General features: G+C 40.9%; 1 protein-coding gene and 1 long non-coding RNA gene across 6 annotated transcripts in view; one reads left to right on the plus strand and one right to left on the minus strand.

Moving 5' to 3' along the window:
• LOC105376982 (uncharacterized) overlaps positions 1-3,108 on the minus strand; it is a 97,844-nt gene extending 94,736 nt beyond the window's left edge. Inside the window, exon 1 of the long non-coding RNA XR_940640.3 lies at positions 493-3,108. This is a non-coding gene — a long non-coding RNA (uncharacterized LOC105376982). The remainder of the gene's footprint in view (positions 1-492) is intronic.
• Positions 1-26,453, plus strand: part of KCNH8 (potassium voltage-gated channel subfamily H member 8) — a 387,133-nt gene that overhangs the window by 335,349 nt on the left and 25,331 nt on the right. The window lies entirely within an intron of this gene.

A 26,453-nucleotide genomic window follows, 5' to 3' on the forward strand; every position in this document is an offset into this window, starting at 1 on the left:
GGAAGGGCCATTTTTTTCTTTTTTGAAGGTGGACTGGATCATTTTTATTTTTTATTCAAATGGCCTAAATGACACAAGACCAGTATTTACATTTATATTTATATAGTCCTAATTTATGACAAATTTACTTACTTTTGGTCATATAGTCTTTTTTTTAATTAAGAGAGTCACATTTCCTTTCTAACTTATTGCTATTAATGACAGCACAGGCATCAAATTTCAAGATTATGCATTTGGGCACCCCCTTTCTTTTGTTCTGGCTAATACTTTACTTGTATTATTTATGAGTCCTCACCAGTCTTTAGTTCTTAATCTTATTTTAAAAACTGTGGACATGGGAGGCCCAGAGGGGTCATAACACACATCTGGCTGGTCGTTTCCTGGGCTACATACCTTGTACTGAGTGTCATTATATAAACATGCTCCTTTTAAAGTTTCTAGGCATTCATAGTAACTATAGAACAGAAAGATTGTTTTACTTTCTTGTCTTACCTCAGTAACCTGATGTATACACTAAGAGTAGTCTTTCATGCGGGGAAAATCAGTGGAAGTTTTTACTATACAAGTCCAAATTATAAGGAAAATGAGTTTTACGATGATTCTCCTCATGCTTCAGCCGTGCGTAGACCAGTCAGCTTCTGGATGTGACTGGAGCAGGGCTTGTCGTCCTCCTCAGAGTCACTTTGCAGGGCTTGTCCAGGCTCGGTTTTGTCTCCTAGTTTTCAGTGGCTGTAGGTTTCACATGGCTGTTGTGGATCCAGGCTGGGATTCCTTCTACCTTTACAGCCGTGGGGGTGGTCAGGATGATGGTTTGAGGTCCTTTCCACGGTGGCTGTAAAGGGGCTACGTTCCAGTCCTTGATCCACACGCGATCACCTGGAAAGAAAGGATGAACTGGGGAGAATAAGCTGATGGGACACCTCTTATTTACCTAAGTTGAGATTGTTTGTGTAATTTTTCTTAAAGCCTGTAGCTGTCACTGTAATTCAATTTCACCTAACTCTCGGGGAGTGCCTGGAAGTCTCTGTAGTATAGGAGGAGGCCTATGATACAGTATTTCATAAGGGGAGTATTCTGTTTTCTTAGAAGGAGTGCATTTAATTTTAAACAATACCATAGGAAGGGCCTGTATCTATTTTAATCCTGTTTTCTGACATACTTTTTTAAAACTATTTTTGATAGTCCGATTCATTCACTCCACCTTTCCGGAACTCTGAGGTCGGTAGGCGGCATGTAGCTTCCAAGTGATTCCTAATGCCTTTGCTGTTTTCTGTACCAAGTCGCTCACAAACCTGTTACCTGAGCCGATTCGTAAGGGCAGTCTAAACCTAGGAATAAGATCTCAGAGAAGCACACGGGTTACTTCATAGGCCTTTTTAGTTTGTGTTGGATCAGCCTCCACCTACCTAGAGTAAGTACACACAAGAACCAGCAAATACTTGTTACCTCCACATTTTGGCATTTCTGTGAAATTTACCTGAAGATCCTCAAAAGGAGCTGCTCCATAAGCTTGTGTGCCAGGTGGAACAGTGGGGCTTTGCCTCACATTGTGCTGTTGGCAAGTAACGCACTGTTGTGCTACTGCTTTGGCAAGGGCTGGCAAATGTGAGATGTAGAAGTACTGGCCTAACAACTTTTTAAGTGACTCTTGACCTTAGATGAGTAGTTTTGTGCACGGCCAATACGATTGTGGCTCCCAGAAACTGTGGCACAGCTACCTTCCTATCTGGCAGTCTGATCTATCCTCCTTTTATTACTTGCCCCCTTTCTGCATGGAAAAAGTCTTTTTCTTCCTTAGAATAGGTAGGTACCAGGTCAGGTGTTTGAGGGAGTAATGGGGCTGCTACCGATGCCCAGTAAGGGGTAGATGCTGCTTTTCGAGCTTCTGAATTAGCTCGAGAGTTTCCTAGGGCCACTGAGGTGGAGGCTCGCTGGTGTCCCCTGTAGTGCATGACTGCCACCTTTTGAGGTTTTTACACTGCCTCTAATAATTGTAGAATTTCTTGTTGATATTTTATGTCCTTTCCCCCAGGGTTTAACAGGCCCTTTTTCTTGTATAATGCTCCATGCACTTGAGAATTAGAAAGGCATATCGAGAGTCAGTGTAGATGTTTACAGTCTTACTTTTACTGAGTTCTAGAATCTGAGTTAAAGCAATGAGCTCAGCCTTCTGGGCTGAAGTGCCCTGTGGCAATGGTTTGGCTTCAATGACAGCATCCAAAGTTACCACCACATATCCTGCACATCTTTCATCTTGTGGGTTGATGAAGCTGCTCCCATCTACATATAACTCCCAGTCTACTGAGATGCCCATGGCTGGTCCTGAAGGTCAGGTCTGCTAGAATAGACTGAGCCCAACACCTCTACACAGTTATGCTCAACCAGCCTTTCTGATAATGGGAACAGGGTGGTGGGATTTAGGTTGTTACAGACTTCAATTGTTATCTGGGGATTTTCACAAAGCAAGCTTTGGTACTTGGTTAATTTAGCATTTGTTAGCCAATGATGTCCTTTGGTATTCATCAAGGTTACCACAGCATGGGGGGCTTTTATATTCAGCTTTTGCCCAAGGGTTAGTTTATCTGCTTCTTGTGCTAACAGGGCCGTTGCTGCCAGGGCCCTTAGACATGGTGGCCGGCCTTTGGAAACCCCATCTAGTTGTTTTGAGAGATAGGCCACTGGTCTTGGCCAGGGCCCCACAGTCGGTTAAAACTGTAACTGCCATTTTTTTTCTTTTTGACACATAGAGTGTAAAGGGCTTTGTCAAATCTGGTAGTCCTAGGGCACAGGCCAACGTAAGTTTTTCCTTTAACTTACAAAAGACTAGCTCTTGTAGAGGCTCCCATTTAAAAGTTACCGGTCGCCCCCCTTTGTAGCCCCGTACAAAGGTTGGGCTAGTACTGCAAAGTTTGGAATCCATAATCTGTAAAACCTTACAGCTCGTAGGAATTCCCTTACTTGCCTTCTGGTTTTAGGTTCCAGTAGGCTGCAGATGACCTGCTTTCTTCCTGACTCCAGGCTGCGCTCCCCTTTCCGAATAGTGAATCCCAGGTAGCATACCTGCTGTCTGCAGATCTGAGCTTTCTTCTTGGACACTTTCTACCTACAGTCCTCCAGGTGCTGAAGTAGGACATCCGTACTTTTTGCGCACCCGACTGCCAAGGAGTGTCCCAGCAGAAGGTCGTTCATGTACAAAAGCAAGATGCAGCCTAGGTCTTTAGCAGGAAACTTTTGCAGGTCTTGAGCCAGGGCCTCCCTGAAGATAGTAGGGGAGTTCTTGAACCCTTGGGGAAGCCGGGTCCAAGTGTACTGAGTAGTCACACCTGACTCCGGATCTTCCTACTGAAAGGCAAACAGCTTCTGGCTCTCAGGAGCTAGTCTGATGCTAAAGAAGGCATCTTTTAAGTCCAGACAGGTAAACCAACTGTCCTTAGCAGGCAGTAGCCCTAACAATGTGTAACGGTTAGGAACTGTTGGGTGCAGAGTCACTGTAGCTTGGCTGACCAAGCGCAAGTCCTGCACTGGCCGGTAGTCCTTTGTCCCTGGCTTAGGGACAGGCAGGAGGTAGGTGTTCTATGGAGACTGGCAAGGAACTATAGTTCTAAATTATAGGTGCTTTTAAGCGCCTGAGATGAACCTGGATTCCCTCAAGAGCTTCTCTGGGAACCGGATACTGCTTTTGTCTAATTGGCTGGGCCCCAGGCTTAACTTCTGTGAGTACGGGTGCTTGATTGACTGCCAGTCCCAGAGGATTATCCTCTGCCCATATTTGGGGCCATCGCTTAGCTAGACTGGTTTTATCTCTTGGCCTGGCTCGGTTAGAAAAAGTCTCTATTCTTTTTCCTGGGGGACCGTAAGGGCCATGATAACTCCTGTTCCCAGTAACTTTAGCTGTAAAGAGCCCTGTCTTGTAAAGGAGATGGTGGCTCTCAGCTTGCTAAGCAAGTCTCTTCCCAGCAAAGGCAAGGGACAGTCAGGCATGTACAAGAACTGGTGAACTATTTTATGTCCCACCACCCAGCAGGTCCGTGGTAGACAGAAAGCCTGCTTAGTGGAAACTTCTGTTGCTCCGATTATATCAATGGTTTTCTCGGGTAAGGGGGTGACCGGGGTGGTCACTACTGAATGTTCAGCACCAGTATTGACCAAAAACTTAATGTCCTTGCCTCCAATTGTAATCCTGACGGCAGGCTCCTTGGGGGCGCTTCAGCCCAGTCCCCTTCAGTCTAATAGCCCTTCAGCCAGATTGAACAAAGCTCTCTCATCTTTATCTAAGGTCTTTTGTTCTGAATCACCTTGTTTTTCCTTCAGTTGGGGACACTTATTTTTCTAATGTCCTATTTCCTTACAATAGGAGCATTGGTTACATTGAAAGTGTGGGCGATTAGACTGGGTATTCTTCCCAGAACCCTCCTTTTCTTTCCCTTTTGGGGGAATTCCCTTAATGGCCGCGGCCAGTAAGTTGGCGTTTCCGCCTGGCCTGGTGTTCGGCTTTCTCAGCGGCTTGTTGCATCTTTGTTCACAAACAAACACTTGATTGGCTATTTCCAGTAATGGCGAGGTATTCATACCCACAAACCCTGCCTGTTTTTGCAATTTTTTCCTGTTATCTTCTGTGCTTTGACTAACTAAGGCCATGTTAATCATGTGCTGATTTTCAGGGCTATTTGGATCAAAAGGAGTGTACATACGGTAAGCCTCACACAGTCTTTCATAGAATTGTGCTGGACTCTCCCCTTTTTCTTGGATGACCTCAGAGACCTTATTTAAATTTGTAACCTTTTGAGCCCCTTTCTTTAGACCTTTTATCAATGCCTTAGGATACCATCTTAGCCTCCCTGTGTCTGGTCCCTCGTTCAGGTCCCATTGGGGGTCTGTTCCTTGCAGCTGAATCCTTATATATTCTTGGGGGTTTTGGTAATCGGCTGGGACATGCTACTCTAGCTACTTAGTTGCCGCCTGGAGCACCCTTTGCCTTTTATTTGTATTAAAGAGGTACATGAGCAGCTGGTGGCAATCAGCCTAAGTAGGATTATGAGTCTGTATAACGGTTTGGAGCAAGTCAATTAAAGCTTGAGGCTTTTTGGTATAAGGTGGAGTATTATTTTTCCAATTGAGGAGGTCAGCAGAGGTGAAAGGTTGATACAAAGGCACGCCTTTCCACCATGTGTCCATCCTCATTTACCCCAGTAATATTGCTGTTCTCTCAGGGGCATTTGGATTCCAGTCTTAGGCCGTAAGCAAGCTGCCAAGGGAGGAGTTTCTCCTTCAGCTTTACTTCCTCTTTTGTCTATGCTGGGTGGTCTAGGAGTGTGGCTATCTGGTGGAGGTGGAGGTGCTGTGGGTTCTGGAGTGGGGAGCCCTTCCTCTCAATAAGGAGGGGGTATTCCTGGTACCAATTCCTGCCATGATTCTTCTGGTGTTGGGACAGACAGGACTTTTGGTGCTGAATTCCCTCGGTGGGTGGAGCGAGAACCTTCCTTAACTAACTGTCCCTTTGCTACTAGTACTGCTGCTGCCTGTCCTCTTAACCACTGTGAGGGGTCTAAAACTAACTGTAACCAAGAATCTATATGTATATACGGGAATTGATACGGGAATTGATCTGGGTGCCCTGGCTTACAAGTTACCTTGTGCCACACTTTTGAGAGAAGGGACCTGTCCAGGCTTCCTTCTGATGGCCAACGTACCTGTAATGCTGGCCAGTCTATCTCACACAAAGTTCTAAGTTTTCTTGGTGTCATAACTCCATAGTCTCCCTTAAATCCTGTTTTGAAATTTTTCAACATAGTTCCTAGTGGGATGGGCTCACTTTGTGCCTCACCCATGTTTCCTCCAGACAAAACACCACACTCACACCACACTCACACCACAAAACAAAGAACAGGTAAAGAGGGCACACACACACTTTTACAGTTTACACCAAACCAGAAACAACCAAAATCAGAGTATCAAATCCAAGCCAGGTCAAAACCAAAACCAAAGTATCAAGCAATCCAAGTCAAGCCAAAAACAAAAACCAAAGTGCCAGTACAGGCACGTCGTGGGTGATCAGGCCATGCTTCCACTCAAATGGAGTGGGCAAGTTCCAAAGACCAGTCTTACCAAGTTTCAGATGTCCGGACTCCAAGTGCCAGTTCCTTCCCGGTGTTCAGCCACTGCACTGATCATCCACAAGGGCCTGCTGTCCACCGCTCTGACGAGGCGTTCCACCAGGGCAAATGCCTACCCGAGAGTGCTCTCAGGATCTGCATCGCTCAAGCTGGCCGGAGTCCCCCGCAGGGATGCTCCACAGGGCAGGCCTAAGCTGACTAAGGGGCTGACTCAACTGTCCGTCCTTAATCACCTGCTTCCTGGTCAGGAAACCACGAAATGTAGCAGGATGAGCTGCAGACAAGAACCGCTCAGACACCGAATTGTAGAAGGAAAGAGCTTTATTCAACTGGGAGCATCTGCAGACTCACATCTCCAAAAACCGAGCTCCCCGAGTGAGCAATTACTGTCCCTTTTAAGGGCTTACAACTCTAAGGGTGTCCATGTGAGAGGGTCGGGATTGATTGAGCAAGCAGGGAGTATGTGACTGGGGGCTGCATGCACCTGCACGGGTAATCAGAATGGAACAGAACAGGACAGGGATTTTCACAGTGCTTTTCCATACAATGTCTGTAATCTATAGATAATATAACCGATTAGGTCAGGGGTCGATCTTTAACTACCAGGCCCCAGGGTGTGGCACCGGGTTGTCTGCCTGTGGATTTCATTTCTGCCTTTCAGTTTTTACTTTTTCTTTCTTTGGAGGCAGAAATTGGGCATAAGACAATATGAGGGGTGGTCTCCCCCCCTTAAAGTGAGCAAATAATCTCATCTCCCTGGGCAATAGTGTTTCTAAACACTGTTTCTAAAGTGAGAGAGTTGGACTAATTCAATGGTTTCACATCTAACCTGGAGACTTTTGGAAAACTCTGGATCACTGGGTTCCATCCACCACCAGCTATAAGAGACTCACTGTAGTTAGCACAATGGATTTTTTTTAAAGAAAGCTACTCAAGACATTCTGTTCTTTGACAAGTAGAGAAATCATTTCAGCAGACAGTCTGTGGTCACTTCTAGCTTTAAAATGCTGAGTTTCCAATAAAAAAAATACTCTGGGCAGAATCTGGATTGGTATGAAGTGTTAATCATCTGAATAAATATAGTGCTCTTTTTTAAGCATAAGTGATTAATACTACATGTAAATGAAATTATTCAGATAGCCCATCAGATTGCTGGGAAGTTACTAATTATATACATATATATATGTGTGAGTGTGTGTGTGAATGGAGTACACTTGATTATGCCTCACGCTTTTAAAAAAATGTTCAGCCTTTATTTTAGATAGATGGGGTACATGGGCAGGTTTATTACATGGGGATATTGCACCAAGGTAGTGAGCATAGTACCCAACAAGTAGATTTTCAACCCAGGCCCCCTTCCCCGCTCTCTCTAGCAGTCCCCAGTGTTTATTATTCCTATGTTTATGTACATGTGTACTCATTGTTTAGCTACCATTTGTAAATGAGAACATGTGGTATTTAGTTTTCTGTCCCCCATTAGTTTGCTGAGGATTCTTGCCTCCAGATTCATCCATGTTGCTGTGAAAGACATGATTTCATTCTATTTTATGACTGTATTACTATGGTAATTTATCACTGTGGTGGATATGTACCACATTTTCTTTATCCAATCCACCACTGACGGTCACCTATGCTGATTCTATGTCTTTGCTATAGTGAGTAGTGCAGCAATGAACATATGAGTGAGCATTTCTTTTTGATGTAGTGATCTATTTTCCTTTGGGTATGCGCCCAGTAATGGAATTGCTGGGTCAAATAATAGTTCTTCGTTTTTTGCGAAATCTCCAAACTGCTTTTTGCAGTGGCCGACCTAATTTACATTCCCAGCAACAGCTTTTCCTTTTCTCCACAGCTTTGCCAGCATCTGTTTTTTGACTTTTTAATAACAGCCATTCTGACTAGTGTGAAATGGTATCTCATTGTGATTTTGATTTGCATTTCTCTGATGATTAGTGATGATAGCTTTTTTTCATATGTTTGTTGGCCACTTGTGTGTCTTCTTTTGAGAGGAATCTGTTCATGTCTTTTGCTCACTTTTTAATGGAGTTGTTTGGTTTTTGCTTGTAAATTTGTTTAAGTTTCTTATAGATTCTGGATAATCAGACCTTTTTCAGATGTATAGTTCATAAATATTTTATCCCATTTTGTCAGTTGTCTGTTTACTCTCTTGATAGTTTCTTTTGTTATGCAGAAGCTCTTTAGTTTAATTAGATCGGACTTGTCATTTTTTGTTTTCACTGCAATTGCTTTTGGGGACTTGGCAAAAAATTCTTTGCCAACACTAATGTCAAGAAGAGTACTTCCTAGGTTTTCGTCTAAGATATTTATAATTTTAGGTCTTATACTTCTATCTTTCATCCATCTTGAGTTAATTTTTGTATGTGGTGACAGATAGGAGTCTAGTTTCATTCTTATGCATATGGCTATCCAGTTATCCCAGCACCGTTTATTGAACAGGAAGTCCTTTCCCATTACTTATGTTTGTCGATCTTATGGAAGGTGAGAGGTTTTAAACATGTGGCTTCATTTCTGAGTTTTCTATTCTGTTCCATTGGTCTGTGTGTCTGTTTTTGTAACAGTACCATGCTGTTTGGTCATTATAGCCTTATGGTGTAGTTACAAGTCAGGTAGTGTGATGCCTCCAGCTTCATTTTTGTTGTTGTTGTTGCTTAGAATTGCTTTTGCTGTTTGGGCTCTTTTTTTGGTTCCATATGAATTTTAAAATAGTTTCTTCTCATTTTTTGAAGAATGATATTGGTAGTTCAATAGGAGTAGCACTGAATCTGTAAGTTGCTTTGGCCAGCATGGTCATTTTCATGACACTGATTCTTCTAGTCCTTGAGCATGGAATGTTTTTTCGTGTGTGTGTGTGTGTGTGTGTGTGTGTGTGTGTGTGTGTGTGTGTGTGTGTGTGATTTCTGACTTCTTTCACAAGACTTTCGTAATTTTCCATGTAGAGATCCTCCACCTCTTTGATTAGCTGTTTTTCTAGGTACTTCATTTTCTTTGTGACTATTGTAAATGAGATTGTGTTCTTGATTTGACTTTCAGCCTGGACATTATTGGTGTATAGAAATGCTATTGATTTTTGTACATTGATTTTTGTATCCTAAAACCTTACTAAAATTGTTTATCAGTTCTAGTAGCCTCTTGGCAGAGTCTTTAGGGGTTTCTAGATATACAATAATATCACAAAGAGAGACAGTTTGGCCTCTTGTCTTCCTATTTGGATGCCTTTTGTTTCTTTCTCTTGCTTAACTTCTGGCTAGGACTTTCAGTACTATGTTGAACAGGAACGGGGAGAGTGGGCATCTTACATGGTTAGGCTTTGTGTCCCCACCCAAATCTCATCTTAAATTGTAATCCCCAGGTGTTCATGGGGAGAACTGGTGGGAAGTGATTGGATTATGGGGCAGTTTTCTCCATGCTGCTCTCGTGATAGTGAGTGAATTAGATCTGATTGTTTTATAAATGGCAGTTTTTCCTGTGCTCTCACACACTTGCTTCTCTCTCATCCCTGCCACCATGCAAGATGTGCCTGCTTCCCCTTCTGCCATGATTGTAGGTTTTCTGAGGCCTCCCCAGCCAAGCAGAACTGTGAGTCAATTATACCCCTTTTCTTTATAAATTACCCAGTCTTAGGTAGTATCTTTATAGCAGTGAGAAAATTGGCAAATACAGCATCTTTCTCTTGTTCCAGTTTTCAAGGGGAAGGGTTTTTTAGCTTTTGCTCATTCCATATGATATTGGCTGTGGCTTTATTATTGATGAGTCTTATTATTATTATTATTTTTCCTGCCCTACACAACATTATTCTCCTTATGTCATTTATATTACAAATTACATTAGTACATGATGAACCATTAATATAGATTGTTTTATTATAACTTTTATTTTAGGTTCAGGGGTACATGTGCAGGTTTGCTATATGCATAAACTGTGTCTCCCACAGTTTTGGTATGTAGATTATTTCATCAGCCATGTACTAAGCCTAGTATCCAATAGATATTTTTTCTGATGCTTTGCCTACTCTCACTCTTCACCCTCAAGTAGGCCCCAGTGTCTGTTGTTCTCTTTGTTTTCATTGTTTAGTGCCACTTATAAGTGAGAACATGCAGTATGTGATTTTCTGTTCGTGTGTTAGTTTGCTTAGGATAATTGCCTCCAGCTCCACCCACGTTGCTGCAAAGGGCAGGAGCTCATTCTCTTTTGTGGCTGCATAGTATTCCACAGTGTACATGTACCACATTTACTTTATCCAGTGATAGGTATCCCCACACAAATCTCGTCTTGTAGCTCCCATAATTCCCATGTGTTGGTGGGAGGGACCCAGTGAGAGATGATTGAATCATGGGAGTGGGCCTTTCCCTTGCTGTTCTCATGATGGTAAATGGGTCTCATGATGGCCAATGATTTTGAAAACAGGAGTTTCCCTACACAAGCTCTCTCTTTGCCTGCTGTCATCCATATAAGATGTGACTTGCTCCTCCTTGCCTTCTGCCATGATTGTGAGTCCTCTTCAGCCATGTGGAACTGTAGGTCCAATAAACCTCTTTCTTTTGTAAATTGCCTAGTCTTGGGTATATCTTTATCAACAGCATGAAAATGAACTAATACATTCAGTCTTCTATTTATGGCCATTTAGGTTGACTCCATGTCTTTGCTATTGTGAACAGTGCTGCAGTGAACATATGCATCCATGTGTCTTTATGGTAAAATAATGTATATTCCTTTGGCTATATACCTGGTAATGGGATTGCTGGATCAAATGGTAGTTCTGTTTTTAGGTCTTTGAGGAGTCACCGCACTTCTTTCCATAATAGTTGAACTAATTTATACTCTTACCAACAGTATATAAGTGTTCCTTTTCCCCCGTAACCTTGCTAGCATTTATTTTTCAACTTTTAATAATGGCCATTCTGACTGCTGTGAAATACTATTTCATTGTGGATTTGATTTGCATTTCTCTAATGGTTAGTGATGATGAGCATTTTTTCATATGTTTTCTAGCCACTTGTATGTATTCTTCTGAAAAGTGGCTGTTCCTATCCTTTGCCCACTTTTTTATGGGGTTGTTTCGTCTTTGCTTGTAAATTTGTGTAAGTTCCTTATAGATTCTGGATATTAGACCTTTGTTGGATGCATAGTTTGCAAATATTTTCTCCCATTCCGTAGGTTGTCTTTTCACTCTGCTGATAATTTCTTTTGCTATAAGCTCCATACTTTAATTAGTTCCCATTTGTCAATTTTTGCCTTTGTTGCAATTGCTTTTGGCATCTTTTTCGTGAAATCTTTGCCAGGTCCTATGTCCAGAATGGTATTGCCTAGGTTGTCTTCCAGAGTTTTTATACTTTTGGGTTTCACATTTAAGTCTTGAATTCATCTTGAGTTAACTTTTGTTTATGGTATAAGGAAAGGGTCCAGTATCAATCTTCTTCATATGGCTAGCCAGCTATCCCAGCACCATTTACACCACTTATTGAGGAGGGAGTCCTTTCCCCATTGCTGGTTTTTGTTGGCTTTGTTGAAGATCAGATAGTTGTAGGTGTGCAGCCTTATTTCTGAGATCTCTATTCTGTTCCATTGGTCTATATGTCTGGTTTTGTACAAGGACCCTGCTATTTTGGTTACTGTAGCCTTGTAATATAGCTTGAAGTCAGGTAACATGATACCTCAGCTTTGTCTTTTTGCTTAGGATTGCCTTTGCTATTCAGGCTCTTTTTTAGTTTTGTACAAATTTAAATTTTTTTTTTTTTAAATTGCATGAAGAATGTCACTGGCAGTTTCATAGGCATAGCATCTGTAAATTACTCTATGCAGTGTGGCCATTTTAATGACATTGATTCTTCCTAATCATGAGCATGGAGTGTTTTTCCATGTGTTTGTGTCATCTATGATTTCCTTGAGCGGTGTTTTATAATTCTCATTGTAGAGATCTTTCACCACTCTGGTTAGCTGTATTCCTCAGTATTTTACCCTTTTTGTGGCAATTGCAAATGAGATTACATTCTTGATTTGGCTCTTAGATTGGATATTGTTCGTATACAGGAAGGCTACTGATTTTCTACATTGATTTTGTACCTGAAACTTTGCTGAAATTGTTTATCAGATCACAGAGCTTTTGGGCAGAGACTATGGGGTTTTCTAGATATAAAATTATATTGTCTGCACACAGGGATATTTTGACTTTCTCTCTTATTTGGATGCCTTTTATTTCTTTCTCTTGCCTTAGTACCCTGGCCAAGACTTCCAGTACTATGTTGAATAGGAGTCATGATAGAGGGCATCCCTGTCTTGCTCTGGTTTTCAACAGAATGCTTCTAGCTTTTGCCCATTTAGTATTATGTTGGCTGTGGATTTGTTATAGATGGCTCTTATTATTTTAAAGTATATTCCTTCAATGACTAGTTTATTGAAGGTTTTTAACATGAAGTGATGTTGAATTTTATCAAAAGACTTTTCTGCATCTATTGAGATAATCATGGGTTTTTTATTTCAGTTCTCTTTACGTGATGAATCATATTTATTTATTTGTGTATGTTGAACCAACTTTGCATCCCAGGGATAAAGCCTACTTGATCTTGGTGAATTACCTTTATGATGTGCTGCTGGATTCAGTTTGCTAGTATTTTGTTGAGGATTTTTGTCTGTGTTCATCAAGGATATTGACCTGAAGTTTTCTTTTTTTGTTGTGTCTCTGCCAGGTTTTGGTATCAGGATGATACTGGCCTCATAAAATGAGTTAGGAAGGAGTCTATCCTCCTCAAATTTTTGAAATAGTTTCAATAGGAATGATATCAGCTTTTCTTTATACATCTGGCAGAATTTGGCTGTGAATCCGTCTACTTCTCCACCTGTTTTTGGTTGGTTGGCTTTTTATTACTGTTTCAATTTTGGAACTCATTATTGGTCTGTTCAGGGATTTAATTTCCTCCTGGTTCAGTTTTAGGAGGTTATATGTGTCCAGGAATTTATCAGGTTCTTCTAGATTTTCTAGTTTGTGTGCATAGAGGTATATGTGTCCAGGAATTTATCAGTTTCTTCTAGATTTTCTAGTTTGTGTGCATAGAGGTGTTTGTAGTAGTCTCTGAGGGTTTTTTATATTCCTGTAGGTCAGTGGTAACATCCCCTTTGTTATTTCTAATTGTGTTTATTTGGCTCTTCTCTCTTCTTTCCTTTGTTAGTCTAGCTAATGGTCTGTCGTATTAATTTTTTAAAAACCAACTCTTGGATTAATTGATCTTTTGTATGATTTTTCATGTCTTAATATCCTTCAGTTTAGCTCTAATTTTGGTTATTTCTTATCTCCTGCTATCTTTGGGGTTGGTTTGCTCTTGCTTCTCTAGTTCCTCTAGTTGTGATGTTAGGTTGTTAATCTGAGATATTTTTAACTTTTTGATGTGGGTGTTTAGTGCCATAAACTTCCTCTTAACACCGCCTTAGCTGTGTCCCAAAGATTCTGGTATGTTGTGTCTTTGTTCTTATTAGTTTCAAATAACTTTTTGATTTCTGCCTTAGTTTATTTACGTAAAACTCACTCAGGAGCAGGTTGTTTAATTTCCATGTAACTGTATGGTTTTGAGAGATTTTCTTAATGTTGATTTCTGTTTTTATGCACTGTGGTCCAAGAGTGTGGTTGGTATGATTTCAATTTCTTTGAATTTGCTGAGGGTTATTTTATGTCTGATTTTGTGGTTGATTTTAGAATATGTGCCATGTGGCAATCAGAAGGATGTATATTCTGTTGTTTTGGGTGGAGAGTTTTGTAGATACTTGACAGATCCATTTATTCAAGTATTGAATTCAGGTCTTCAATATCTTCGTTAATTTTCTGCCTGAACAATTTGTCTAATACTCTCAATGGGGTATTGAAGTCTCCCACTACTATTATGTGGGAATCAAAGTCTCTGTGTAGGTCTCCAAAAACTTCTTTATGAATCTGGGTGCTCCTCCCTTGAAGGCATATATATTTAGGATAGTTAGGTCTTCTTGTTGAATTAAACTCTTTACCATTATGTAATGTCCTACTCTATCTTTTTTGGTCTTTGTTGGTTTAAAGTCTGTTTTGTCTGAAATTATGACAGCAACCACTGCCTTTTCCTGTTTTCCATTTGCTTGGTAGATTTTTCTTTATCCCTCTATTTTGAGCCTGTGATTGTCACTGCTTGTGAGATGCATCTCTTGAAGATGGCATACCAGGGTGTATTGCTTCTTTCTCCGTGTTGCCACTCTGTTACTTTTAAATGGAGCATTTAGCGCATTTACATTCCAAGTTAACATTTATATGTGTGGATTTGATCCTTTTATGTTGTTAGCTGGCTATTATATAGATTTCTTTGTATGGCTGCTTTATAGTGTCACTGGTCTGTGTACTTAAGTGTGTTTTTGTAGTGGCTGGTATGTTTGTTTGTTTGTTTTTCTTTCCATGTTTAGTGCTCCTTGCAGGACCTCTTGTAAGGCAGGCATGGTGGTAATGAATTCCCTCAGCGCTGACTTGTCTCAAAAGGATCTTATTTCTCCTCCACTTATGAAGCTTAGTTTGGCTGGATATAAAATTCTTGGTGGAAAATTATTTTCTTTGATCGTCTGAAGCCTTCTTCTCTCAACTCGTCAAAGTCATTCTCCATCCAGCTTTCTTCTGTTGCTGGTGAGGAACTGCGTTCCTTTGGAGGACGAGAGGTGCTCTGCTTTTTAGAGTTTCCAGTTTTTCTGCTCTGTTTTTTCCCCATCTTTGTGGTTTTATCTACTTTTGGTCTTTGATGATGGTGATGTACAGATGGGTTTTTTGGTGTGGATGTCCTTTCTGTTTGTTAGTTTTCCTTCTAACAGACAGGACCCTCAGCTGCAGGTCTGCTGGAGTACCCGGCCGTATGAGGTGTCAGTCTGCCCCTGTTGGGGGGTGCCTCCCAGTTAGGCTGCTTGGGGGTCAGGGGTCAGGGACCCACTTGAGGAGGCAGTCTGCCCGTTCTCAGATCTCCAGCTGCGTGCTGGGAGAACCACTGCTCTCTTCAAACCTCAGATGGCTATGGGAGGACATTCAAATCAAAGGAAAAGAAGTTGAGAACTTTGAAAAAAATTTAGAAGAATGTATAACTAGAATAACCAATACAGAGAAGTGCTTAAAGGAGCTGATGGAGCTGAAAACCAAGGCTCGAGAACTACGTGAGGAATGCAGAAGCCTCAGGAGCCAATGCGATCAACTGGAAGAAAGGGTATCAGCGATAGAAGATGAAATGAATGAAATGAAGCGAGAAGGGAAGTTTAGAGAAAAAAGAATAAAAAGAAACGAGCAAAGCCTCCAAGAAATATGGGACTCTGTGAAAAGACCAAATCTACGTCTGATTGATGTACCTGAAAGTCACAAGGAGAATGGAACCAAGTTGGAAAACACTCTGCAGGATATTATCCAGGAGAACTTCCCCAATCTAGCAAGGCAGGCCAACATTCAGATTCAGGAAATACAGAGAACACCACAAAGATACTCCTTGAGAAGAGCAACTCCAAGACACATAATTGTCAGATTCACCAAAGTTGAAATGAAGGAAAAAATGTTAAGGGCAGCCAGACAGAAAGGTCGGGTTACCCTCAAAGGGTAACAGCAGACTAACAGCAGATCTCTCGGCAGAAACTCTACAGGCCAGAAGAGAGTGGGGGCCAATATTCAACATTCTTAAGGAAAAGAATTTTCAACCCAGAATTTCATATCCAGCCAAACTAAGCTTCATAAGTGAAGGATAAATAAAATCCTTTACAGACAAGCAAATGCTCAGAGATTTTTGTCACCACCAGGCCTGCCCTAAAAGAGCTCCTGAAGGAAGCGCTAAACATGGAAAGAAACAACCGGTACCAGCCGCTGCAAAATCATGCCAAAAAGTAAAGACCATCAAGACTAGGAAGAAACTGCATCAACTAACGAGCAAAATAACCAGCTAACATCATAATGACAGGATCAAATTCACACATAACAATATTAACTTTAAATGTAAATGGACTAAATGCTCCAATTAAAAGACACAGACTGGCAAATTGGATGAAGAGTCAAGACCCATCAGTGTGCTGTATTCAGGAAACCCATCTCACAGGCAGAGACACACATAGGCTCAAATTAAAGGACGGAGGAAGATCTACTAAGCAAATGGAAAACAAAAAAAGGCAGGGGTTGCAATCCTAGTCTCTGATAAAACAGACTTTAAACCAACAAAGATCAAAAGAGACAAAGAACGCCATTACTTAATGGTAAAGGGATCAATTCAACAAGAGCTAACTATCCTAAATATATATGCACCCAATACAAGAGCACCCAGAATCATAAAGCAAGTCCTGAGTGACCTACAAAGAGACTTAGACTCCCACACAGTAATAATGGGAGACTTTAACACCCCACTGTCAACATTAGACAGATCAATGAGACAGAAAATCAACAAGGATACCCAGGAATTGAACTCAGCTCTGCACCAAGCGGACCTAATAGACATCTACAGAACTCTCCACCCCAAATCAACAGAATATACATTTTTTTCAGCACCACACCTATTCCAAAATTGACCACGTACTTGGAAGTAAAGCTTTCCTCAGCAAATGTAAAAGAACAGAAATTATAACAAACTATCTCTCAGACCATAGTGCAATCAAACTAGAATTCAGGATTAAGAATCTCACTCAAAACCGCTCAACTACATGGAACTGAACAACCTGCTCCTCAATGACTACTGGGTACATAACGAAATGAAGACACAAATAAAGATGTTCTTTGAAACCAACGAGAACAAAGACACAACATACCAGAATCTCTGGGACACATTCAAAGTTGTGTGTAGAGGGAAATTTATAGCACTAAATGCCCACAAGAGAAAGCAGGAAAGATCCAAAATTGACACCCTAACATGACAATTAAAAGATCTAGAAAAGAGCAAACACATTCAAAAGCTAGCAGAAGGCAAGAAATAACTAAGATCAGAGCAGAACTGAAGGAAATAGAGACACAAAAAACCCTTCAAAAATTTAACAAATCCAGGAGCTGGTTTTTTGAAAGGATCAACAAAATTGACAGACCACTAGCAAGACTAATAAAGAAAAAAAGAGAGAAGAATCAAATAGACACAATAAAAAATGATAAAGGGGATATCACCACCGATCCCACAGAAATACAAACTACCATCAGAGAATACTACAAACACCTCTATGCAAATAAACTGCAAAATCTAGAAAAAATGGATAAATTCCTCGACACATACACTCTCCCAAGACTAAACCAGGAAGAAGTTGAATCTCTGAATAGACCAATAACAGGAGCTGAAATTGTGGCAATAATCAATAGCTTACCAACGAAAAAGAGTCCAGACCAGATGGATTCACAGCCGAATTCTACCAGAGGTGCAAGGAGGAACTGGTACCATTCCTTCTGAAACTATTCCAATCAACAGAAAAAGAGGGAATCCTCCCTAACTCATTTTATGAGGCCAGCATCATCCTGATACCAAAGCCGGGCAGAGACACAACCAAAAAAGAGAATTTTAGACCAATATCCCTGATTAACACTGATGCAAAAATCCTCAATAAAATACTGGCAAACCGAATCCAGCAGCACATCAAAAACGTTATCCACCATGATCAAGTGGGCTTCATCCCTGGGATGCAAGGCTGGTTCAACATACGCAAATCAATAAATGTAATCCAGCATATAAACAGAACCAAAGACAAAAACCACATGATTATCTCAATAGATGCAGAAAAGGCCCTTGACAAAATTCAACAACCTTCATGCTAAAAACTCTCAATAAATTAGGTATTGATGTGACGTATCTCAAAATAATAAGAGCTATCTATGACAAACCCACAGCCAATATCATACTGAATGGGCAAAAACTGGAAGCATTCCCTTTGAAAACTGGCACAAGACAGGGATGCCCTCTCTCACCACTCCTATTCAATATAGTGTTGGAAGTTCTGGCCAGGGCAATTAGGAGAAGGAAATAAAGGGTATTCAATTAGGAAAAGAGGAAGTCAAATTGTCTCTGTTTGCAGATGACATGATTGTATATCTAGAAAACCCCATTGTCTCAGCCCAAAATCTCCTTAAGCTGATAAGCAACTTCAGCAAAGTCTCAGGATACAAAATCAATGTACAAAAATCACAAGCATTCTTATACACCAACAACAGACAAACAGAGAGCCAAATCATGAGTGAACTCCCATTCACAATTGCTTCAAAGAGAATAAAATACCTAGGAATCCAACTTACAAGGGATGTGAAGGGCCTCTTCAAGGAGAACTACAAACCACTGCTCAATGAAATAAAAGAGGATACAAACAAATGGAAGAACATTCCATGCTCATGGGTAGGAAGAATCAATATTGTGAAAATGGCCATACTGCCCAAGGTAATTTACAGATTCAATGCCATCCCCATCAAGCTACCAATGACTTTCTTCACAGAATTGGAAAAAACTACTTTAAAGTTCATATGGAACCGAAAAAGAGCCCGCATCGCCAAGTCAATCCTGAGCCAAAAGAACAAAGCTGGAGGCATCACACTACCTGACTTCAAACTATACTACAAGGCTACAGTAACCAAAATAGCATGATACTGGTACCAAAACAGAGATAGATATAGATCAATGGAACAGAACAGAGCCCTCAGAAATAACGCCACATATCTACAACTATCTGATCTTTGACAAACCTCAGAAAAACAAGCAATGGGGAAAGGATTCCCTATTTAATAAATGGTGCTGGGAAAACTGGCTAGCCATATGTAGAAAGCTGAAACTGGATCCCTTCCTTACACCTTATACAAAAATCAATTCAAGATGGATTAAAGACTTAAACGTTAGACCTAAAACCATAAAAACCCTAGAAGAAAACCTAGGCATTACCATTCAGGACATAGGCATGGGCAAGGACTTCATGTCTAAAACACCAAAAGCAATGGCAACAAAAGCCAGAATTGACAAATGGGATCTAACTAAACTAAAGAGCTTCTGCACAGCAAAAGAAACTACCATCAGAGTGAACAGGCAACCTACAAAATGGGAGAAAATTTTCGCAACGTACTCATCTGACAAAGGGCTAATATCCAGAATCTACAATGAACTCAAACAAATTTACAAGAAAAAAACAAACAACCCCATCAAAAAGTGGGCAAAGGACATGAACAGACACTTCTCAAAAGAAGACATTTATGCAGCCAAAAAACACATGAAAAAATGCTCACCATCACTGGCCATCAGAGAAATGCAAATCAAAACCACAATGAGATACCATTTCACACCAGTTAGAATGGCAATCATTAAAAAGTCAGGAAACAACAGGTGCTGGAGAGGATGTGGAGAAATAGGAACACTTTTACACTGTTGGTGGGACTGCAACCTAGTTCAACCATTGTGGAAGTCAGTGTGGCGATTCCTCAGGGGTCTAGAACTAGAAATACCATTTGACCCAGCCATCCCATTACTGGATATATACCCAAAGGACTATAAATCATGCTGCTATAAAGACACATGCACACGTATGTTTATTGCAGCATTATCCACAATAGCAAAGACTTGGAACCAACCCAAATATCCACCAATGATAGACTGGATTAAGAAAATGTGGCACATATACACCATGGAATACTATGCAGCCATAAAAAATGATGAGTTCACGTCCTTTGTAGGGACATGGATTAAATTGGAAATCATCATTCTCAGTAAACTATCTCAAGAACAAAAAACCAAACACCGCATATTCTCACTCATAGGTGGGAATTGAACAATGAGAACACATGGACACAGGAAGGGGAACATCACACTCTGGGGACTATTGTGGGGTAGGGGGAGGGGGGAGGGATAGCATTAGGAGATATACCTAATGCTAGATGACGAGTTAGTGGGTGCAGCGCACCAGCATGGCACACGTATACATATGTAACTAACCTGCACATTGTGCACAGGTACCCTAAAACTTAAAGTATAATAATAATAATAATAATAAAGAAAATTACTTTCTTTAAGAATGCTGGGATACTGTACAAAAAGAGACACATAAGTCAATGGAACAGAATTGAGAGTCCAGAAATAAGGCCACACATCTACAACCATCTGATCTTCAACAAAGCTGACAAAAACCAGCAATGGGGAAAGGACTCCTTATTCAATAAATAGTTCTGGGATAACTGGCTAGCCATATGCAGAAGATTGGAACTGGACCCCTTTCTTTCACCATATATAAAAGTCAACTCAAGATGGATTAAAGACATGTAAAACCCACAAGTGTAAAAACCCTGGAAGACAACCTTGGCAAATACCATTCTGGACATAGGACCTGGCAAAGATTTCATGACAAAGATGCTGAAAGCAATTGCAACAAAAGCAAAAATTAATGAGTGGGATCTAATTAAAGTAAAAAGCTTCTGCACAACAAAAGACACTATCAACAAACAGCCTACAGAGTGGTAGAAAATTTTTGCAAACCTTGCATCTAACAAAGGTCTAATATTCAGCATCCATAAAGAACTTAAACACATTTACAAGCAAAACACAAACAACTCCACTAAAAAGTGGGTAAAGGCCATGAACAGACACTTTTCAAAAAAAGACCTACAAGTGGCCAACAGTCATATGAAAAAAAGCTCAATATCACTGATCATTAGAGAAATGCAAATCAAAACCATGAGATACCATCTCACACCAGTTAGAATGTCTATTATTAAAAAGTCAGAAAATAACAGATGCTGGAAAGATTGCAGAGAAAAAGGAAGAATGCACTGTTGGTGGGAGTGTAAATTAGTTCAACTGTTGTGGAAAGCAGTGTGTCAATTCCTCAAAGAGCTAAAAACAGAACTACCATTCAACTCAACAATCACATTATTGGGTATATACCCAAATGAATATACATTGTTCTACCATAAAGACACATGCACACATATGTTCATTACAGCACTATTCACAATAGCAAAGACATGGAATCAATCTACAAGCCCACTGATAATAGACTAGATAAAAGAAAATGTGAGATATATATATATATATACACATATATATATCTCTCTCACATTCATATAATATATATGTATGTGTATATATATACACTATATATATACACACACAATCTCTATATATGTATATATAGATACACACACACACACACACACCATGGAATACTACACCGCTGTAAAAGAGAATGAGATCATGTTCTCTAAATGAACATGGATGGAGCTGGAGGCCATTATCCTAAGCAAACTAATGTAGGAACAGAAAACCAAATGCCACATTTTCTCACTTATAAGTGGGAACTAAATGATGAAAACACATGGACACCAAGAGGGGAACAACAGATACTGAGACCTACCAGAGGGTGAAGGGTTGGAGGAGGGAGAGGATCAGAAAATATAATAGGTACTAGGCTTAGTACATGGGGAATGAAATAATCTGTACATCAAACCCCCGTGACACAAGTTTACCTACATAATAAACGTGCACATGTACCCCTGAACTTAAGATAAAGTTTTTTTTAAAAAAGAATGTTGATATAGGCCCACAATTTCTCCTGGCTTGTCGAGTTTCTACTGAAAGGTCTGCTGTTAACCTCATGGGGTTCCCTTTGTAGGTGACCTATCCCTTCTCTCTAGCTGCCTTTAACATTTTTTCTTACATTTCAACCTTGGAAAATCTGATGATTATGTGTCTTGGGGATGTCTTTCTCTTTAGTATTTCACTGGAGTTCTCTGCATTTTCTGAACTTGAATGTTGGCCTGTCTAGAGAGGATGGGAAGGTTTGCATGGATGATATTCTGAGATATATTTTCCAGGTTGCTTGCTTTCTCCCTAGCTCTTTCAGGGACCCCAGTGATTCATAGATTTTGGTCTGTTTACATAACCTCATATTTCTCAGAGGTTTTGTTCATTCTTTTTTATTCTTTTTTATGTATTTTCTGTTTTACTGAGTTATTTCAGTGAGCCAGTTTTCGAACTCTGAGATTCTTTCCTCAGCTTGGTTTATTCTGCTCTTAATAATTGAGGTTGCATTGTAAAATTCTTGTAGTGTGTTTTTCAGCTATTTGCTTCTGTTTTATAATGGCTATTTCATCCATCAGCTCCTGAATCATTTTATGGTACTCATTAGATTCCTTGTACTGGGTACTGACTTTCTCCTGAATCTCGATTGTCTATGTTCCCATCCATATTCTGAATTCTATTTCTGGCATTTCAGCGATTTCAACCCAGTTAGGAACCCTTGCTGGGGAACTAGTGTGGTTGTTTGGAGGAAAGAGGCCACTCTGGCTTTTTGAGCTCCCAGAGTTCTTACGCTGGTTCTTTCTCATCTGTGTGGGCTGGTGTTCCTTTAACTGTGGTGTAATTTGGGTATAATCAGTAGGTTTCATTTCTGGATGTTTTCAGAGGGCCAAGGCTTTGTGCAGGGCCTTTATTTTTAGCTGAGCTCTTGTCTTTGGTTTCACAGAGGAGTATATTACCAAAAGTATTTTTGCTGTTGAAGTTTGTGCTGTGATTCAATAGGTGGTGCTTAAGTGAAATGGCCAGTAGGTAGGCACTTGCTTGACCATGTGGCTCCTCTGTATTTCCTCATGATTGCAGCTATGCTCCCTCTCAGTGCTCTGACAGTGTGGGCTCCTCTCCCACTTGAGGGCTGGCTGCAGATCTCGGTTTGGCTCTCCTGGGCTGCACACTGCAATTCTGGAGTGAGCTCAGGCTTTATGTGGCCTCCTTAGCTTGGAGACAGCAAGGCCAGGGACCTTAGCAGTGACTGTGACAGAGGGCCTTTCTCTCGTCTCTGGGGGCTCCACTCCAGAGAAATGCAGAGTTGCTACCAATCAGTATAATCAGCCAAGGTTGGGGTGGCTGCACTGGGGACCCAAGCTGGGGGCACCCTACCTGATAACAAGCAGGGAGGGTACATAGGTCACAGAGTAGACAGACTGGCCTCTTTCCTTAGGGCAACTGCAGCTTCCTAGAAGTGTGGTTAAAGCACTCATGGTCTTTTTGCCTTCCCCAGTCCGAGGGCAGCAAGAGCAGTACCACTCTGCAGTGGCCATGGGAGTGGGCCTTCAATTGTCTCTGGGACCTCTGCCTCAGAGAAACACAGCGCCCCTGCCACTGGAAATGTTCAGCCAGGGGATGAGACAAACGCACTGCTGGCCTGAGCTGGGGGCCCTGCTTGGTGAAGAATGGAGGTTCAAGAGCTTACAGGGAGGAGAGACTGAGCTCCTCTCTGTATGGTGGCTGTGGTGTGCTTGGAGCACAGGTGAAGCCCTTAGACTGTTTCTTCCCTATAGCAAGGGCAGCAGGAGCAGAACCACTGCTGTGGCAATGACGGAGAGGCTGTTGATTGCCTCTGGGAGCCCCCACCAGGGAACCTCAGAGCCAGTATCAGTGGGTGTGCTCAGCTATGATGAGGAGGCTGATCTGTGGTCCGGAGCCAGAAGCCCTGCCTCATGAAGAGTGGGGGGCCTGGGCTCACAGGGAAGAGGGTCTGGATTCCTCTCCTTATGGTGTGTAGTGTGCTGAAGGTGCCAGCATAGTGACTAGGCCCTTTGTTCCATCCCCAGCCCCACAGCGATTAGGGCAGTACCATTGCAGCTGCAATGGCAGAGGGATTGTGGGTTTTCTCTGGGAGTTCCTGCTCAGAGAACTGCAGAGCCACCTCCAACTGACATGTTCAGGTGGGGACAGGGTAGTTGTGTTGGAGTCCCAGGTCACAAGGGCCTCCCAGTAAGGAGAAACAGGATCGGAGACCTGGGTGGAAAAAGGTCTGGCTGCTTTTTCCACAGGGCAGCTGCATTGTGCTGGGGATCTGCACCAGTCCCTTGTCACCACGTACCTTCTGGAAGCCTGAAGGCAACAGGGAGGGGCAAGGGCTGCAAGACAGCAAAAATGGCGGCTTGCCTCTGTGGGAGCACTGTCCCAGGAAAACACGGAGCTGCTACCTTCCCAAAAGATGGCTCTTACTATTTTCGGGTATATTCCTCTGATGACTAATCTGGGTTATTATCATGAAGGGAAGTTGATTTTATTTGCATCTATTGAGATGATCATTCGGGTTTTGCTTTTAATTCTGTTTATGTGGTGAATCACATTTTTTGAATTTTGTATGTCAAACCAGCCTTGCATCCCAGGAATAAAGCCTACTTGATCATGCTGTATGAACTTTTTGATGTGCTGCTGGATTCATTTTGCTAGTATTTTGTTGAGGATTTTTATGTCTATATTCATCAGGGATATTGGCCTGAAGTTTTCTGTTTTCACTGTGTCTATGCCAGATTTTGGTACTAGGCTTATTCTGCTTGACTCTTGACCGTCAGTACATTTGGTAAAAGATGAGATAAGGTTACCTTAGGTAATCAAAGGTATCAAAAAGTAGGAGGAAGAAAAATATATTGCATGCCAAACACTTAAATATAGTATTGCATTTAACCTTAATAACAGCCAATCTGGTGTTCATTTCTCTGCTTAGTCAGTTATTACTTTGCAGCCATCACCAAATCACTTAACTCTAATTTGGTCCTTTTGTTTCCTCTTCTGCAGAATAGAGACTAAAAATACCTATATTATAGGATCACAGTGGGAATTAATGGGCATAATGTCTGGGAAACACTTATCAGGGTGCTTATCACATGATGGATAAATAATTGATAGGAAATAGGATGATAATAACTGTGATGTTGGTCATGAGCTCTTACTACTCAAAATGTGTCTCCAGGGCCAGCAGCACCAGTATTACCTGGGAGCTAACTAGAAATTAGGAATTTCAGGCCCCACCTCAGACCTCCCATGTCAGAATCTGCATTTTAATGAGATCCCTAAGTAATTCATGTGCACATACATGTTTGAAAAGCACTAGTATAGAAAAATGACTCTGGGATTCAGCAACTTGACAGAACTCATCTAGTGGTAAACCACACAACTAGAAGCATACTCAAATCAGAAGATGCTAAGGCCAGCATCTTTCTCTTATATCTCTAACGGTATCTGTGATTGGAGGTGTTCAGCCTTCCTGAATCCCATTGTCATGTTCTTCTGTAATCCAAGCTATAAATGAAAGGCTTTTTACAAACATGTTTTCATGTCTACCACAGTAGCAAGAACACCATAATTTTGTTTTATTTTTCACATTTTTAATTATTCAGCTGTTTTATTTGTCACCATTTAGGGAATTATTACAAAACTTATGTCTAAAATGCATCTGGTTAAGGCATATTAAGGCGGCTAAGCAGATGTAGAATCGGTTGACTGCTATCATAAAATTAAACACTGATGAAACATATATTTGCACAGCAATAATGATCCTGGCATTTGTATAAATATAACAGATCTATTTCCCTAATCATCTAGGGAAAAAAATGAGGAAAGGGTGACAGAATTACCAAATTTGTCTGGCTTACTAGGCAGATCATTTTCAAGTACAAATTTTTTTTCATGTGAATAAAATCATGTTAATTAACAGCATCTATTACCACATTAAAATGAAAGAAGTGTATTTGAGCAAAAAACAATGTAGATAATATCAGAAGCATGTTTCCAGGACATGTCATAATTTCCAGAGCTTCTTTATAATCATGGTAGGTGCATGTTTTTAAGATATTCCTCTATAGTGCCATAGTTTGATTTTATACAAAATGTGTCCTGAGATTCAAGCCTAAGTGAATAAGATATATATTTTTCCCCACATTTTAGTATCTCTGAAATTTAAATCTGTCTTACAATTGATGGTATATCAACACTGATTGGCAGCAGTTTTTCTTCTTTTTTTGTGATCAGTGGAATATTTGATTCAATTAGGGGATTAGGATTCCCAGTAAACTGAAACCTTGTCCACAGGGATTACCACAGTGAGATAGTGGAAAACAAGTGGAACAGAAAGGATAGCTCATGCCTATGAGCGTTCAGGCAAAAAGAGAAGTGAATAAATAGAAGTAATGAGATTAAATAAGAAATGATTTCATAGATTTCTATTTCCACAGAGCCAGAAAGAAAAATCGAGGAAGATGAGCAAATTTAGCAAAATAGCAAGAAAGAAGAATAGGGAGATAGAGGAAAAAAAAAAGGAGAGAGAATGAAGCATCAAGATGGAAAATACAGCCAATAAGCCCACTATTGTGATCATTATTTTTTAGGTGTGGTATCCTGTGGTAGACATTCAACTTGGTGCTCCTTTTCTCATTACACACACTGATCAGTAGTGGTCCTAGAGGATAGGATGAGGCAGTTGTTTTTGGCACATTGTAGAAGGTGTTTTCTCTTCTCTGGCCTGCACAGGTAGATCCACACCCCTTCCTGTGCTCCTTCCCTCCCACAAACTCTGTACATACTTCTCTTTCCTCTGCCTGCTGCATTTCACCCAGTC

Source organism: Homo sapiens, chromosome 3 (assembly GCF_000001405.40).
Source record: "Homo sapiens chromosome 3, GRCh38.p14 Primary Assembly".
Classification (NCBI taxonomy): Eukaryota; Metazoa; Chordata; class Mammalia; order Primates; family Hominidae; genus Homo; species Homo sapiens.